This window comes from Homo sapiens, chromosome 1 (genome assembly GCF_000001405.40).
Source record: "Homo sapiens chromosome 1, GRCh38.p14 Primary Assembly".
Taxonomy (NCBI): domain Eukaryota; kingdom Metazoa; phylum Chordata; class Mammalia; order Primates; family Hominidae; genus Homo; species Homo sapiens.
The window spans coordinates 158,781,289-158,799,769 of NC_000001.11; the positions used below are offsets into that span (position 1 = coordinate 158,781,289).

Consider the following 18,481-nt stretch of genomic DNA (forward strand, 5'->3'; position numbering starts at 1 on the left):
CAGAGTCCCCAGAGCTAACACTGTTTTGCCACAAGTGGCAGAAGGAAGGGAGACCTCCAACCCCAGAGACAGGTGAGAATCAGGCTCAGGGCAGACTCCTGGGAAGCCAAGTTTACCTCTCACCTGCAGAGGTGGGCTCAGAAAAGTCTTTCCCAAATGTTTGCTGTCTCATCACCCTCCCTTGCCACTCCTATTCCCTCATCACCAGTGACTTCTGAACATAGACTCTTGGACTCTAGTTCTGAAAATGTGACCCTAATCCTCCCACCACTCTTCTCATAAACACATGCACTCTCACATTTCTTGACTCACCTCCGAAATCCGAAGAGACACTGTTTCCCCTCATCATTTAAGCCAATTACTTTTCCTGATAATGTGCTGAATCCCACCTAATATTCTTCCTTTGAGAATCCTCTCTGATAAGAGCTGCCTGTTTTTAAAACAAACAAATAAGCAAACAAACTGGGGTTGTGGAGCTTCAGAAACCTTAATTTGAATTGTAGTTCCAATTAAAGACCTGTTTACCTGAGCATTTGCTAAGCAACACATGTTGTTCTAAGCACAATGTATGCACAGTCTTCACAATTACTCTGTGAAGTTGGTGTGATTGTTATTCCCATTGTACATTTGAGAAAACTGAAGCACAGAGAGTTTAATAAAGTGTCCAACATCACACAAGTGCTCTACAAAATTATAAACCCAATCACTCTGACCCCAGAGTCCATGATCATCACCTCTAAGCTCCACTGCCTCAGAAATGTTCTTAATGGTCAAAGGAGCATAACCAAGGTCACACTACCATAAAGTGTCACCTGTTTTAAAGTCTGTACTCTTAACTGCTACTCTTTACCTATGTACCCTCAGGCAGTTGTGTATTTATTTGAACCAGTATTTTATTATGTATAAATGTGTATTGTGAGAATTAAGTAAGATTAAATGCAAACATTAACTATAATAGTTTTAAAGTGTGTTAGTTTACATTTCCCATTTCATGTTGCAGATATGGAATACCTGTTTGGCAACTAAACTTCTCCAAATAATTAACTTTGCCTAAGTGACTTAGCATCTCACAGCCTTATTTTCTTTACCTTTAAACTGAACATATTTGGGTTGCTTTGAGAATTAAATGACAGGACAAGGCCTTCCAGCAAAAGAAAGGAACATACCCATAATCTAACAAAATTAGGTTTATTGACTCACTGCAATGTGGGTGATCACACACCACTGGAGTTGTGGGACATTTCTGTAAGAGAGTGTTAGATAGAAATTATTATAGGATGTGGGCTCATATTAGGCAATTTTAGGTGAGGAGGAAGGGTTCAAGAAAGCTAAGCTTGCTCTGGATTTGGTCCTGTCAATTACTAGAAATAATTCCATGATTAGGTATCTTAATGAATCTTACTTGTTAAGGTAGACTAAAGCTGTAATTGAGAAAGATCATATCAGTCACTCATTTTAGCTAGAAGACAATATATTTTTCTGATTGTACAGTGTTATACGTAATTAGGATTATTAAGTGGTATTTTTTTTCCTCTCATTTCATTGTGGTCACAGAGTGACTTTGTCTGATGTTGGTATTCTTTGAGAACATCATGAGCTAGCTTGTGTTTTGCTCAGATAAAATACATAAAGAGCAAAATACAAAGTCTTGTACATAGTAAGTGATTCATAAACTTTAAGTCTGTCTCCCTCCTACCCATCATACTCTTTTCCTTTTTAGTGTTTCTAACATTAATTGACAACGTTCCCTATTAGAGAACTGTACTGCAAAACAATCACAATAAACATGTAACTCTGCATTGTTCAAAATTTAGTTTTCATGAACGAAATCCATCTCCTTGTCACTTCCTGCCTTGTTACTTCCCCCCTTGTCACTTCCCCTCATTGGTCCTATGGCAACTTGCTGGATCCAACATAATACTAAGTTCTGCCAATACTAGAACCCAGCTTTCATGCCCTGCCTTGATGAATTTTCTTCCAGCTAAATGGCCTCCAACTTGTCTACTTGTACGTTGAAGTGCCCTCAGCATACTGGTCCCTCTTTCTTAGACTGGTTCATCACTGTTTCTCTCTCTCTGAAATGAACAACAAAGCTAAAGATATTTCATATGAAAATAGAAATGAGCTAAATATCCTAAGTTTTAAAATCACACTCCCCTCTGCATGAACACTCGTAGAATACATTCCTCTTCCTGTTCTTGGGTCTCTTTCACCAAGTAACACCTGTTTATCTTTCTGGTATCCTCTCTAACATCACCTCTTTGAAGAAGTCTTACCTGACCACTCTGTCTAAACATTCTATGTTCCAAGCCTTATTCTATTCATTGCATCCTGGTCATTCTTTTCATAACAACTGCACATATTTTAATTATATACTTGCATGTTTATTTCTCTCTTTTCACCAATAATTTATAAGGTCAATGAAGACAGGGACTGTATTTTTTTCAACACCATCATTCAATTCCTATTATTTTCTTTGCACAAAGTAGGTATACAATAACTATTTGTTGAATGCATTAATTAAGAAAAGGCTAGGGACTGGGCGCGGTGGCTCACACCTGTAATCCTAGCACTTTGGGATGCCAAGGCAGGTGGATCACGAGGTCAGGAGATCGAGACCATCCTGGCTAACAAGGTGAAAACCGGTCTCTACTAAAAATACAAAAAATTAGCCGGATATGGTGGCGGGCACCTGTAGTCCCACCTACTCGGGAGGCTGAGGCAGGAGAATGGCATGAAACCGGGAGGCGGAGCTTGCAGTGAGCCGAGATCTCGCCACTGCACTGCAGCCTGGGCGACGGAGCGAGACTCCCTCTAAAAAACAAAAAAAAGAAAAGGCTAGTCTGACTCCTCCACCCCTCTCCACCCACACATATGTACACAACATTTACAACCAGGATAGGCCAGATTCTTCTGTTATAGTTTTTCAGAACACTCTGTATTACTGTATTCATCCCATTTCTAATAATTCATTGAGTATCCATCTTTCTTTTGTTTTATTTTTGACACATAATAATTGTACATATTTATAGGGTAGAGTGCGATGTCTTGATATATGTATACATTGTGTAATAATCAAATCAGGGTATTTAGCCTATCCTTCTCCTCATATTTGTAACATTTCTTTATGGTGAAACCATTCAAAATCATCTCCTCTAGCTACTTGGAAATATGCAATATGACATTGTTTACCATAGTCACCCTACTGTGCAATAGAACACCAGAACTTCTTCCTCCTGTCTAACTGTAACTTCATACCCTTTAATCGACTTCCCATCTTTCACCCTCCCCTTTTCTTCTCTAGTCTCTGGTAACCACATTCTATTTTCTATTTCTATGAGATCAGTTTCTTTAGATTTCACATACGAATAATATTATGTGATATTTGTCTTTCTATACCTGGCTTATTTCACATAACATCATGTCCTCTCGGTTCATTCATGTTGCCACAAATAACAGGACTTCATTCTTTTTTATGGCTGAATGCTATTTTATTGCATATATACACTGCATTTTCTTTATCCATTTATCTGTTGATAGACCCCAACATGTTAAAAATAAAACCACCATATGATTCAGCAACCTCACTATTGGCTATATATCCATAATAAATAAAATCAGTATATCAAAGAAATATCTGCACTCTCATGTTTACTGCACCAGTAATCACAATAGCCATGATATAGAATCAACCTAAGTTTCCATCAATATCTAGCTTTCAAACTAAACTGTAAGCTTTTTGAGGGCAGAGGCCATCTTTGTTCCATATTTGCATGTTCAGTGCTACATACTTATTGCCTGACCCAGTGTTTGTCATATAAAACATATTCAGTTCACTTAATGAATAGATTTAAACCACATTTTCCTCTTTCTCTACTTCTTTGGAGAATTTTTTATGGACACAGTACTTGCTTTTTTTGTTTTGATATCCAAATACAAAACCCTTTTGTGCTTTCATTAGAGTTCATCTTGTGAAATTCAGTATATTTTCCTAGTGCTTTAAGGTATTTTTAGATTTTTATTCCGTCATCTTCCTTCTTATGTATTAAACTATTATATATTAACTAAAATTTGACAAGTATTTAGGTTCCCATCTGGATTATTAACTTTTGAGTGTTACTGTTGAGTAGAGACTACTGTGACAGACTCCTAGATCCTTCTCTTGAAAGCCATTTTTAAACAGACATTCTTTAGGAAAAGTTACGCATCTACCTATAAATTCTCCTAACAATACTCTCATCCAAGCCACATTTTTATTTTTCTCCCCAAAGTGTATCCAGGATATGTTCTTAAGACTGGAATCATGCAGGGAGAGTGAAATAAAAGTGAAGAGCCCTAGTAATAACTACATAGAGCTAGGAGAGACATTGTGCAAAGTACCTAAGGATGCTGGCTCAGAATTCAGACTCATCAGTGGGGAGATACCAAGTTGAAAACTAACATAAAAATAATATGTAACCACTTATTAATTTGTACTGAGAATACAATTTATCCTGAGATTATAATTTAATCAATATGAAATTTACCTATCTATACAGGATACTAATAAATACTTTAGGGCAGGAGCAGACAAACTTTTTCTTAAAGGGCCATGTAGTCATTATTTTAGACTTTTCAAGCCCTCGTCTTAATCTCGTGTTGGATGTTGTCCCCTCTAAATCTCATGATCATGACTAAGACCCCCAAAAGCAAATGCAACAAAAACAAAAATAAATATATGGGACCTAATTAAACTAAAAGGTTCTGCACAGCAATAGAAATAATCAGCAGAGTAAAAAGACACACCACAGAGTGGAAGAAAATATTCACAAACTATGCATCCAACGAAAGACTAATATCCAGAATCTACAAGGAACACAAAACAACCAAATAATCCTATCAAAAATTTGGCAAAGGACATGAATAGAAAACTCTCAAAAAAGAATACACAAACAGCCAACAAATATATGAAAACAATGCTCAACATTGCTAATTATCAGGGAAATGCAAATTAAAACCGTAATGAGAGACCACCTTACTCCTGCAAGAATGGCCATAATCAAAAAGTTAAAAAGTAATAGAAGTTAGCAGGGATGTGGCGAAAAAGGAACATTTTTACACTGCTGACAGGAATGTAAAGTAGTACAACCACTATAAAAAACAGTAGGGAGATTCCTTAAAGAATTAAAAGTAGAATTACCATTCAATCCAGCAATCCCAGTTCTGGGTATTTACTCAAAGAAAAAGCAGTCATTATTTGAAAAAGACATGGACCTGCATGTTTGTAGCAGCACGATTTGCAATTGCAAAGATATGGAACCAACCTAAGTGCCCATCCACCAGTAGATAAAGTAGATAAAGAAAATGTGGTATATATACACCACGTAATACTACTCAGCCATCAAAAGGAACAAAATAATGTTATTTGCAGCAAGTTGGATGGAGCTTGAGACCATTATTCTAGTAACTTGGGAATGGAAAACTAAATATCATATGTTCTCACTTGTAAGTGGGAACTAAGCTATGTGGATGCAAAGGCATAAGAATGACACAATGGACTTTGGGGACTCAGGGGGGAAAAGGTGAGGAGGATGAGAAATAAAAGCCTACATATTGGGTATGGTGCACACTGCTCAGGTGACAGGTGCACCAAAATCTCAGAAATCACCAGTAAAGAAATTATCAATGTAACAGAAAACCACCTGTACTCCAAATACTATTGATTTTTTTTTATCTCATGTTGAACTGTAATGAGTTTGGATGTTGTCCTCTCTAAATCTCATGTTGGATGTGAGGCCTGGGAGAGGTGTTTGAGTCATGTTCGGTCATGGGGGTGAATTCCTCATGGCTTGGTGCGATTCTCCATAGTGTGTTTTTGTGAGATCTTGTTGCTTAAAAGTGTGTGGCATCTCCTCCCCCTCTTGCTCTCGCTCTACCACGTGACATGTTGGCTCCTCTTTTGCCTCCTGTCATGATTGAAATCTTCCTGAAGGCTCACCAGAAGCTGAGCAGATTCTGGCATCATGCATCCTATACAGCCTGCAGAGCTGTGAACCAACTAAACCCCTTTTCTTTAAAAATTAATCTCAAGTCCCAGTCTCAAGTATTTCTTTATAACAATCCAAGAAAGGCCAAATACACTGTCACAACTACTAAGCTCAGGCTTTGTAGCACAAATGTAGCCATCAGCAATATGTAAACAAATAAATGTAGCTGTGATCTGATAAAATTTTATTTACAAAAACGAACTATCTTGTTTGGTCCATGGGCCTTAGCTGGATACAGGCTTGCAGTTTAGCAAACCATTACATGTATATACTTTCTCTCTCTCTCTCTCTCTATCTATCTCTCTATCTCTCTCTCTCTCTCACACACACACACACACACACACACACACACACACATACACAAATACACACGAACATTTTATTTTGAATAGTATTTCTCCAGTTCTGGTATTTTGAGAATTCTCTCATTTGACCTGATTCTTGAAAATATATCTCTCCCTTTCTCAGAAAATATTTCTCCAGTGAAAACATCCCCAGTGCATTTAGGGAAATACATATTCCCCCACAAGTTTTCTCTTATTTAGACTTAAATGCACTTACTAATACAGAGACTTTTAGAGCCTTATATCCACCAGGCATCCTGGAACTCAGAAGACGCAGGCAGTGTCCTTTGTCTGACAGGATGATGGCAGAGATAATTTGAGCAGACCTGGTAAGGGCAGTGATCACAGTGGAAATGCTAAGCCTCCTTTTGAAAGAGAAAAACAAAAAGTCTGACTAGCCCACCTACTAAGAGGAGATAAGCTATAACTGAAAGAAAAATATAAAGCATATCCTTCAGAAATCAAAATTTGTTTAGAAATGTTTATAAATTTGTTGATTATTGTTAATAGAAGAAGCATAAAAATATAATTATGTCAGACCCTGTAAACTACACAATTGTGTGTACTAATAAAATTTAAGAAAAGTTCTTAAATGGGATTAATGTTAAGTCTGCCTAGAAGTCTATCATAAGCACAGATCTCATCTATCTTGTTTCTGTGCATTCAAGGAGAGAAGTCAGGGCAGTATTGCTGTTAATTTTTATTAGACATATAAAATGTAAACTTTCATGTTTGTCATCAGTTGCAAGACATTATTTAGTAGATTCTAGGATGTCATAAAGCATGTATTTATATTTTTAATATCTTTACTATTTTTGCTTATTTTATATATTAGATAGTATATCCTGTACAGTATATATTTTTGTTTTATCACATACTTTTCATTACATAATAGATGTACCTATTTGAGGGATACATGTGATACTTTGATACATTCATGTAATGTGTCAAATTATGGTAATTAGTATAGCCATCACTTTAAGTATTTATCTTTATTTAGCTGGAAACATCTGAATTATTATCTTCTTGCTGTTTAGAAATATACACTAGGTTAATGTTTACTACAGTCACCCTACTGATTTATCAAACACTAGGTCTTATTTATTGTCTAATTGTAGTTTTGTACCCATTAATCAATATTTCCTTTTTCATTATTAGCACAATCATCTTTATTTTCTATCCAACTTGATGTTTATGTTATACATAACCTTTGACTTGAGGTGGAAGGATGACAGAAGGGCCTCATTTTAGCTTTTCTGTTTTTATTTAGAAGTTAGAATATTTCTAAAAACCCAAAAAAGGAAATACCATAGAAATTGACAAAATATGTAATAAACTTTATTTCCTTCACCCTCTACCTTTCCTGGTAACCAACAACCAACTTTCTATCTTCATGATATCCACTTTTTTACCTCTCACATGTGAGTGATAATGTGATATTTGTCTTTCCATGCTAGGCTTCTTTCACTTAACACAATTACCTCAAGTTCCATCCATGTTGCTGCAAATGACAAGATTTCATTCTTTTTTATTGCTGAATAGTATCTCATTGTGTGTATATGCCACATTTTCTTAATCCACTTATCCACAGATGTACACTTTAGCTGATTCCACATTTTGGCTATTGTAACAGTGCTGCAATAAACATGGGAGTGCTGATATCTCTTCAATACATTTCCTTGATTTGAATATATACACAGTAGTGGGATTGCTGGATTATACAGTAGTTCTGTATTTAGTTTTACGAGGAATCTCCATACTGTTTTCCAAAGTGGCTGTACTAATTTAAATTCTCACCAACAGCCTATGAGCATTCCCCTTTTTCTACATCCTCATCCATTTTACCCTCTCTTTTTTATAAAAGCTATTTTAACTGTGATGAGATGATATTTCATTGTGGTTTTGGTTTGCATTTCTCTGATCAATAGTGAGGTTGAGCTTTTTATTTCTATAACTCCTAGCCATTATATATATTCTTTTGAGAAATATCCATTCAGATTTTTTTGCCCATTTAAAAATTGGATTATCTGTTTTCTTACTATGGAGTTATTTGAGTTCCAGATATAGTCTGGTCATTAACCCTTTGTCAGATAGATAGTTTGCAAATATTTTCTCCCATTGTGTGGGTTGTCTCTTCACTTTGTTGATTGTTTCCTTTGCTGTACAGAAGCTTTTTAGCTTCATATAATTCCACTTGGCTATTTTTGTTTTTGTTGCCTGTGCTTTTGAAGTCTTACACAAAAATCTTTGCCCAGGCCAATGCCCTGAAGTATTTCTCCAATGTTTTCTTCTGATAGTTTTGTCATTTGAAGTCTTAGATTTAAGTCTTTAATGCATTTTGATTTAATGTTTTTATGTTGTGAGAGAAAGGAGTCTAGTTTCATTCTTCTTCATATAGTCATCTAGTTTTTCCTGCACCATTTATGGAAGAGACTGTTCTTCCCTCAATGTATGTTCGTGGTGTATTTGTCAACAATGAGTTGGCTGTAAATGTGTGTATTCATTTTTGGATTCTCTTTTCTGTTCCATTACTCTATGTATCTGTTGTTATGTCAGTACCATGCTGTTTAGCTTGCTATACTTTTGTAGTATATTTTGAATTCAAGTACTGTGATATATCTAGCTTTGTTCTTTTTGTTCAAAACTGCTTTGGCTATTTGGGGTCTTTTCTGGTTCCATATAAACTTTAGGTTGTTTTTTTCTGTTTCTGTGAAGAATATCAATTGGTATTTTGATAGGGAATTTTTTTTTTTTTTTTTTGAGACGGCATCTCGCTCTGTCACCCAGGCTGGATGGAGTGCAGTGGCGCAATCTCGGCTCACTGCAAGCTCCGCCTCCCGGGTTCATGCCATTCTCCTGCCTCAGCCTCCCAAGTAGCTGGGACTACAGGTGCTCGCCACCACGCCTGGCTAATTTTTTGTATTTTTAGTAGAGATGGGGTTTCACCGTGTTAGCCAGGATGGTCTCGATCTCCTGACCTCGTGATCCACCTGCCTGGGCCTCCCAAAGTGCTGGGATTACAGGCGTGAGCCACTGCGCCGGGCCTTTGATAGGGATTTTATTGAATCTACAGATTGCTTTAGATAGCTTTGACATTTTAATAGTATTAATTTTTTTAATTCATGAGTGATATGGTTTTGGCCCTGTGTCCCCACCAAAATCTCATCTTAAATTGTAATAATTTTCACATGTTAAGGGTGGGACCAGATGGGGGTGATTGGACCATGGAGGTGGTTTTGTGATTTTGTCATATATGGCTTTTACCATGTTGAGGTATGTTCCTTCTATGCCTAGTTTGTTGAGGGTTTTTATCGTAAAGTGATGCTGGATTTTACCAAATGCTTTTTCTGCATCTATTGAGATGATCACAGGTTTTTGTTTTTAATTCTGTTTATGCGATTAAACACATTTATTGACTTATGTATGTTGAATCCTCCTGCATCCCTGGAATGAAACCAACTTGATCATGTCAAATTACTTTTTGGATGTGCTGTTGTATTCCATTTGCAACTATTTTGTTGAGGATTTTTTTAAAAATTGCCCAACGCAATCTACAATTTTTTGATATAGACCTTTAATGCTATAAACATCGCTTTTAGCACTGTGTTTGCTCTATCCCAGAGGTTTTGATAACTTGTGTTGCTGTTGTCATTTATTTGAAAAAAATTAATTTTTCTCTTAATTTCATTAACTCAAAATTCATTCAGGAGCAGATTAATTCCATGTATTTTTATAGTTTTGAGAGTTCCTTTGGAATTGATTTCTAGTTTCATTTTGCTGTGATCTGAGGAGATACTTGATATGATTTTGATTTTTTTTTTTTTTTTTTTGAGACAGAGTCTCACTCTGTCACCAGGCTGGAGTGCAGTGGCGCGATCTCAGCTCACTGCAAGCTCCGAGTCCTGGGTTCAAGCGATTCTCTTGCCTCAGCCTCCAGAGTAGCTGGGATTACAGGCATGCGCTACCACATCCAGCTAATTTTCATATTTTTAGTAGAGATGGGGTTTCACCATTTTTGCCAGGATGGTCTCGATCTCCTGACCTCGTGATTTGCCTGCCTCGGCCTCCCAAAGTGCTGGGATTACAGGCGTGAGCCACAGTGACCGGTCAATTTTGATTTTTAAAAGTTTATTGAGACTTCTTTTCTGGCCTATCATATAGTCTAGCTTGGAGAATGTTCCATGTGTCAATGAGGAGAATGCACATTCTGCAGTTCTTGGGTAGTAAGTTCTGTAAATATCTGTTAGGTCCATTTGTTCTACAGCACAGTTTAAGTCCAGTGTTTGTTTGTTGACTTTATGCCTCGATTATCTGTCTAGTGCTGCCAGTGGAGTGTTGAAGTACCCCACTATTATTGTGTTGCTGTCAATCTGTTTTCTTAGGTCTAGTAGTAATTGCTTTATAAATCTGGGGACTCCAGAGTTAGATACAGATATATTTAGGATTGTTATATCTTCCTGTTGAGAGTTTATTTTTTAACATTATATAGTAACCTTCTTTGTATTTTTTTTACTGTTGCTTTAAAGTCTGTTATACCTGATGTAAGAATAGCTATTCCTTCTCCCTTTTAGTTTCCCTTTGCAAGAAATACTTTTTCCACCCCTTTACCTTGAGCCTATAAGAATCTTTACATTTTAAGTGTGTCTCCTAAAGAAAGCAGATATGTGATTTGTGATTTTTTTAATCCATTCTCCCAATCAGAAACTTTTAAGTGGAGCAATTAGATCATTTACATTCAATGTTAATATTGAGATGTGAGGTACTGTTCCAGGCATCATGCTGTTACCTAGTGACTGTTTTCTTCACTGTGTTATTATTTTATAAGCCCTTTAGGAGTTTCTATTCTGATGTGTATTAACCTTTTTTTCCCAAGATTTAGAACTCCCCTTAGCATTTCTTGCAGGGCTAGTCTAATGTTGACATATTCACTCATCTTTTGTTTGTCTGAGAATGATTTTATTTCTCCTTCATTTATGAAACTTAGTTTTATGGAGTAAAAAATTATTGGTTGACAGTACAGTTATTCTGTTTAAGGAAACTAAAGATAGGACCCCAGTCTTTTCTGGCTTGTAAGATTTCCACTGAGAAGCCTGCTGTTAGTCTGATAGGTTTTCTTTTATAGGTTACCTAATGCTTTTGAGCTTCTGGTATTTGAACATCTAAATCTCTAGCAAGGCCAGGGAAGTTTTCCTCAACAATTACCTGAAATGGGTTTTCCAAACTTTTGCTTTTTCTTCCACTTCAGAAACACCTATAATTATTAGGTTTTGCCACTTTACATGATCCCATATTTCTTGGAGACTTTGTTCATTTCTTTTTTCTTCCTTTTTGTCTGATTGGGTTACTTTGAAACCTTGCCTTTGAGCTCTGAAATTCTTTTTTCAGTTTGGTCTAATCTACTGTTAAAACTTTTCTCTGCTTTTTGCAGTTCCTTAAATGTGTTTTTCATTTCCAGAAGTTCTCATTGTTTTTCCTTTAAAGTATCAGTCTCTCTAGAAAATTTTTTATGCATATCCTGAAGTTTTTTTTTTATTTTTTCATGTTGATTTTCATTTTTCTTTTGTATCTCCTTGAGTAACTTAATAATCAACCTTTTGAATGTCTTAACTGGTATTTCAAAGATTTCATCTTGGTTTGAATCCACTGCAGGAGGGTTAGTGTTATCTTTTGTGAGTTTCATAGAAATCTGTTTTTTTATATTGCCATAATTATTATTTCTGGGTTCCTTCACATTTTGCTAGACTATTTCTTCTAATTATTTTTCAACTTAGTTTTGATTCTGAGTTTTTTAAATTTATATTTTCCCCTTTAGGATGTGACTTCAATGTTTATAGTTTGTTGGTACTTGGCTTTGGCTATGTGTATTTTCAATGGCAAAGACTCTATGAATTTCTTGGTTATAGAGAATCTTTGTACAGTAACTTTCTCAGATGCTGGTTGTAGTAGCTATGTGCTGGGTGTGTAAGCAGGTTCACTGTCTCCTGTGGGGCTGGAATGTCAGAGGTCTCATGAAACTTATTTTATTCCTCAGTGGTGTGCACTTTTTAAATTTTTTTTCCTAGTATTTTATTCACTGGGTTGAACAGTTTAGGCTTCAGGCCAGTAGGAGGTGCCCATGGGTAAGATCCAGCTGCAGCTAAAGCAGGTGGGTAAATGCAATACCTCAATGGTGAGCAGAGGTCCCAGCCTTGATAGAGGTAGCTGCAGAATCTCTCAGTGAGATGCACCAGGTCTTTTCAGGAGGAGGAGCAGGAGCCACCACAGCTCTCCTTCCCAGCCATCGGAAAATTGATCCTTCTTCCACCCACACTCCTAAGCTGATGTTCCGGCTATTCAGATTAGAAAGGCACTTCCTTTTATCTGCAGGAATCCTGATGTTCTATGTAGAGGGCGATAGTGACTCTACCTCTCATGCAAGCCTGAACCTGGAGGGCACTCCTCCTATGGGGATGTGTCACATCAAAGTATTTCAGAAAGGCTGTCTACAGATGCACCCATGCTGATTTCCCATAGCAGAAGTCTCAGCTTTGTTTGTAGTAGTAATCATTGGGGAGAAAAGTCCCCTTCTCCTACACTCTTCACAAGCGTCAGGGCTGCCTGCCTGTCAAAGTAGATTTAAAGACATTCCCCAACTAGCCCAGCACTGCACCTGTGCCTCTTCAATCCCATAAGCGGAAAGTTCAGGGACTTAAGGCCTGCAATATGGCCTCTTCTCTCTCATGGGATGATCTCTCAGTGTGATGCACTCCCCCTTCCCCTAGGAGTAGCAATCCCTGAGGGCCAGACTACTACGAATCCTGCTGCTCCTCTGGGTCGAGCCACCCAGTGGGGATTCCACACTCCACGCTGTTGCCAGGGAGCGTCTGCAAGGGATCCTGTGATATGATCTTTCCTCTAGTCTCCCAGCAGCAGGTACCAGCACCAGCTCTTACGGGGATAAGAAGTTAGTAGACTCTAAGGTTTCCTTAGTTAGAAATAGCCTTAGTGTGTTGGCTTTCTTGAATGTCAGCTGTAGAAATAATGTATTGAGCATGTGGATAGATTCAAGACCTCTTGGCTAGCCAGGATGATGCAGTCAATGGCAATAGCAGAAATTACACAGAAGTTTCCTCCTTCCTAAACACAGTGTTATTTTGCCTCCAGATGTTGTAAAAGGCTGTCCTGGTTGCTTCCAACCAGGAGGTGGTACCCGTAAAAGAACATCAGCTGCAGTAATGGCAGTGGAATTTGTGTTTGCCATATGTTACCCAGGGAAGGTGGTCTGGCATCTCAAGCAATTGGTGGGTGTCCCAAAGCTCCCATGGAATTCCTAAACATCTTTATACATAGTGTTACGCTACCAAGGTGGATCTAGGGGCAAAGCCAGGCGGGGGGCTGAGCCAGGTAAGTCTGTACTCTGGCTCCCCACATGTGGGTGCAGGCAGTGGCCCCAGAGGGCAGTTCCCTGGCTGCTGGGGTAATGTTCCAAGGAAGAGTGTAGCTTCCTCTGCTGCACAAAAGACTCCAAACAGGCAGGGGGGTGTAGTAAGTGGAAATAAGCCCCACTTAGCTCTCACACACTTGGCAGGTCAGGTCTCACATACACAGTGTTTTGCTGGCAGCAGCTAGCTGAGTTCCAGGCAGCCTTCACTCAGAAGACTTATGCCCCAAACCATAAGCCTTCCCAAGGGAGACAGAAATCATGGCTTTCAGGCCACACCCCTCCTGGTTTGCTCATAACACAGGGGCATCCAGCTTCTGTGCCCATGTCTGTAGCACACTTCTCACTTGCTTGCTGGTTCTGGCCACTGTGGTTCACCCCTACTCAGATTATACTGCAAATCTCAGTTGAGAGCTTCTCTCAACCTGTGACCACTGCCTGATGCCAGTAGACTTCTGCAAGGTCCCTTGTGAGGTAGGATCAGGAATGGCTTCCCTCCATCTCCAGTGGCATCTGGGAGTGCATGCAAAGTATGTCCCCATGTTGTTCCTTCTCATATTTTGCCCACTGCTCCCTAAATCAGCCCCAGCATTGAGTAGGGATAAGGCCTTCCCCCATGGCCTGGATTGCCCAGCTCCCCTCTGGGAATGTGTGTTATGGCAACAGTCTCCCCACTGTGGGAATGTGTGTCATGACAGCGGTCTCCCCACTTCTTATGCTCTGGAGACTCAGTTTTCTGTCTGGTTCACAGTGTAGGCTGCTGCACACTACTTCTTTCACAGAGTTTGCGGCTTCTTTCAGTTTTCCTGTTAAGTTCCTGTGCTGCTTCTTGGAAAAAAGTCCACAGCATGAATCTCTACACACCATTTTGTCTTTCTAAGTGGTAGAATCACGTTAACAATGCCTTCAACCTGCCATCATGGAAAAAAAGTAAAAGTGTGGTCACCATGTTCTAAGGGCCCGCCATGATCACGTACTTGAGGTCTGACTCCTAGTATAACCTACAGTGGGAAAACAGTTGGTGCTGTTCTACAGCATTGTCTCTGCCTTCATAAAACCCATCATCTCCAGCCTCAGGAACAAGGATGTAAAAGGGGCTTCTTGGAAAGTACTTAGAGTCAAAGGGACAGCTCAAGGACCTAGTATGCTTCAGAGTTTTCCATAATCATGGGCAACCTGGAGGGGTCTTATTTGGTACCTTAAAAGTACATCAGTTATCTTTTTGTTAAGCTTTCTATTCTTTGCTCATGCTCAGCTCCCTCTTGAACTTCAGTTTTTTAGATTTGCTCCTCTGAGGTAATTTTCTATGTCTTGTAGGCTTCCTTCATTTAGTTTCATTCTTTTTTCTTCTCTGACTGTGTATTTTCCAACACCCTGTCATTGAGCTCACTGGTTCTTTCCTCTGCCTGATCCATTCCGCTGTTGAGAGCCTCTAAAGAATTTTACAGTTTAGCAAATATACTTCTAATTTCCAGGGTTCCTATTTGATTTGTTTCTCACTATTTCAATTTCTTTGTTAAAATTTTCTGATACATTTCTAAATTGCTTTTTTGTATTATTTTGAATATCTTTGAGTTTTATTAAAACTTCTCTTTATTCTTAATCAGGGAACTTCCCTATTGCTGTCTTATTAGTGTTGGTTACTGGTTCCTTGCTTTGTCAATTTGGGGAGCTCATGATTTTCTGTTTGTGTATGTACATTTGTCTTTAAATTGAAAAATTATTTATTCCAGTCTCCTTTATCTGATATATTTTTGTTTTTATTGGATATGTTTGCTTAGCGTTTTCTTTACAACTTACCTTTTTTTTTTTTTTGTAGGTCACTGCCTCCTTTTCAGCACTAAGTGGCAACTAAGTCCAGGTTTACCTCTGTTTTAGCAGGTGTTCAGAGTGCTGCCTGTCCAGGATGGGGGAGGTCCCAAAGGGGATAATGCAGCAGAATGGGAAAGCTGTCTAGGATTTTGTGCCCAAGAGACTAACAGAACATACCTCCTACAGTGAGGTTCTACTGAACACTCTAATTTGGCAACTCCTTCAGCCAAGATACAGAGAGTTTCCCAGGCTGGGGATGCTGCTAGCCCCACCTGCCCCCTTTGTCTCTGTCATTCTTCAGGAATTTTTCTCCATTCAAGTACTTGTGCACCTTTCTGTGTGTTGAGGCAGGAACAGGTCTCCTGCCAGGAAACCCAAGATGTTGAGAAAGCTGGCTGTCCATCTTGAACTTACCTTTTCCAATGTAGTAACTGTGAATCAGGGGAAATTTCCCAAATGCCTGGTTCATGACAAATCGGGGGGAAAGCGTTATACTTATAAAAATCCGATTCTATCACCCTCTGCACAGCGTTTTTACTTCTCTGCAACCCCAGAAACTATCTCATCCTTCTATTTGGGTTCTGGGATATTGCTAGTGATAATTTCTGCACTGTATGTGTATATTTTGTTGTTTGTTTTTTATTTTCTATGAGATCGAGGGTAGTGGAGCCAGGTTGCTTCTACTCTATCATTTTGGTGACCTAAGTCATATTTTTTCTGTACAATATTAAATAAAAGTAATATTGGTAATTAATCTTGTTTTGTTCTTAACTGGGATTATTGAATTTAGCTTAGGAATATTTGGAGGAAGACTTTTGCATATATGTTAATGAATGATATTATCATCTATTTTTTCACATTACTAGTTTTATTTATTTTGGAATCACTGTTAGGCTATCTTTGTAAAATGCACTGTTGAGCTGCATTGCCAGTGTTTTAATTCTCAGAAGAATGTAAAAATAGGAACTATGTTTTTCGTCAATATTAGATAGAACTCACTTATTAAGCAAGCTGCCACTGATGTTTTCTTTCTAGTGATTTTTTAACTTCTAATTTAATATCATTTAGATTTTATATTAATTCTGATGTTGATATTTCTAATTTATAATTTTTTAGAAATGAATCCAGCCAATTTAAAATTTTAATTAACTGGCATATATTATTAGTAATATGTTATTATAACTTTAAACTTTGATGCATCTGTAATTCTGCCAATTGTTCATTCTTAATCTTTCTTATTTTTGCCCCTCTCTCTCCTTTATTTTTTATTAGTCTTGTCAGGAGTTTATTTTTATTTTTAGGAACCAACATTTTTATTAGTATATCATTTTTGTCATATATTTATTTTTATTGTATTAATTTCTGCTCCCAGATTTTTTCTTACACTTTCTTTTTTTGCCCTAACATTATTTTTCTAATTTTTAAACTTGAATGCTTAGTTAATTAATTTTATACTTTTTAAATAATATTAAATTTAAGGCTATAAACTTCTAAAAAGCACTTTTTCCCAAATATTTTGAAATTATACTTTTTGTTATTGTTCAGATATAGATGTTTTCTACTTTTCCTATGATACTTCTGAGAGTAAGTTGTATGGAAGTATTTTCTTTAAATATCAAACATATGGACATGTGAAATTTATCATTTATTTATTTCTAATTTATTTATATCACTAGTAGAAGCAGAGGTCTATATTATATTAATATTATTAATTCTATTAACTGTATTGACACTTGTTTTATGGCCAAGCATTTGTTTAATTCCACTGTGCTTGAAATCAATCTTTATTCCATGTGCCTCCAGTAGGTGGACCTTGTTAATTATTCTACAAATAATTTATATATATACTTATGATTTATTTGCCTGGTGTTTTTATTCCTAAGGGGAGAGATTTCAAATGTCTTACTCTGATAGTGGGCGTGTTAATTTTCCTTACAGTGCTTTTACGTGATTACTGTGCAGCATGGAAAGCCACAGACCTCCTTCCACTGCATGGCAGAAAGCAGAGCAGAACACACAAACCGGGCAGGCTGGCTCCCTGGGAGAAGAGCACAGGAAAGAACTGTGCTACATATGCCCAGTTCCCCCTTCCAGTCCCACCAATTGGAGTAGACGGCTGGTTCTCAGACTTTAACTTGCATGCATAACATCCTGAAGTTATTAAAACACCAATTACTAGACCCCACTTTCAAAGTATCTAATTTAGTTGATCTGAAATAGACCTTCTCATTAAAATAAAAATCTTTTTCTATTGCTAAAGTTTTTACCTGAGAAGATTCCAGGTGACTTGATCCCCATTTATCTCACACCTAGTCAATGTTTGGAGAAAGCTTAAAAAGACTGTATGATTTGTTCACCACGTTAGCCAAAGAAATGACGAACGTACCCATAAAATATTGGCATTACGTTTAGACCTTAATAAACATAGACAAAAAATACCTTCCCAATAATTACTCTGCAGGCTCATATAAATCGTGTTTAAAAGGATTTTCTCTCTCTAGCCTACGTTTAAGTAGAAGGTCATTCAAGTGAAAGGTCATATGTAGGCTGACTTGTGGGATCATATATGTTCTAAAAACCCACAGTTGTCAGGGATGGTAAGGAGGGTGAAAACTCAGTCAACATGATTAGATCCTCTTGGTTTTTAAATGAAAGTTAAATCTTTTGGATTAAGTTTAGAATCTACCTACTAACTAATGTTGAAAAGACATTTATCTATTTACCTTCTGTGGGAGATTTAATGAGAAAATAGACAAAGGACATCCAACTATAAATCGTATGTTTGTGTAGTCAGGGATCCTTGTATAATCAAGGATCACAAAATTAAGCGACATCATGGGATGGTTTGTGTAGTATGAAACCCAAACTTACTTCTGGAA

General features: G+C 37.5%; 1 protein-coding gene and 1 pseudogene across 3 annotated transcripts in view; one reads left to right on the top strand and one right to left on the bottom strand.

Annotated features, from left to right (window-relative positions):
- Positions 1 to 18,481, bottom strand: part of OR6N1 (olfactory receptor family 6 subfamily N member 1) — a 76,161-nt gene that overhangs the window by 17,053 nt on the left and 40,627 nt on the right. The window contains exons 1-2 of one of the 3 annotated variants that reach the window (XM_017000326.2): positions 1,201 to 2,288; positions 313 to 430 (exon numbers count right to left, since the gene is read on the bottom strand). The exons of 1 other annotated variant lie outside the window; for it this stretch is intronic. The gene's annotated coding sequence lies outside the window, so the exon portion shown is untranslated. Of the gene's footprint in view, positions 1 to 312; positions 431 to 1,200; positions 2,289 to 2,708; positions 2,748 to 18,481 lie in introns of those variants that run through there. One more of the 3 variants, XM_017000327.2, reaches the window with a different exon arrangement.
- OR2AQ1P (olfactory receptor family 2 subfamily AQ member 1 pseudogene) lies at positions 14,710 to 14,950 on the top strand (annotated as a pseudogene).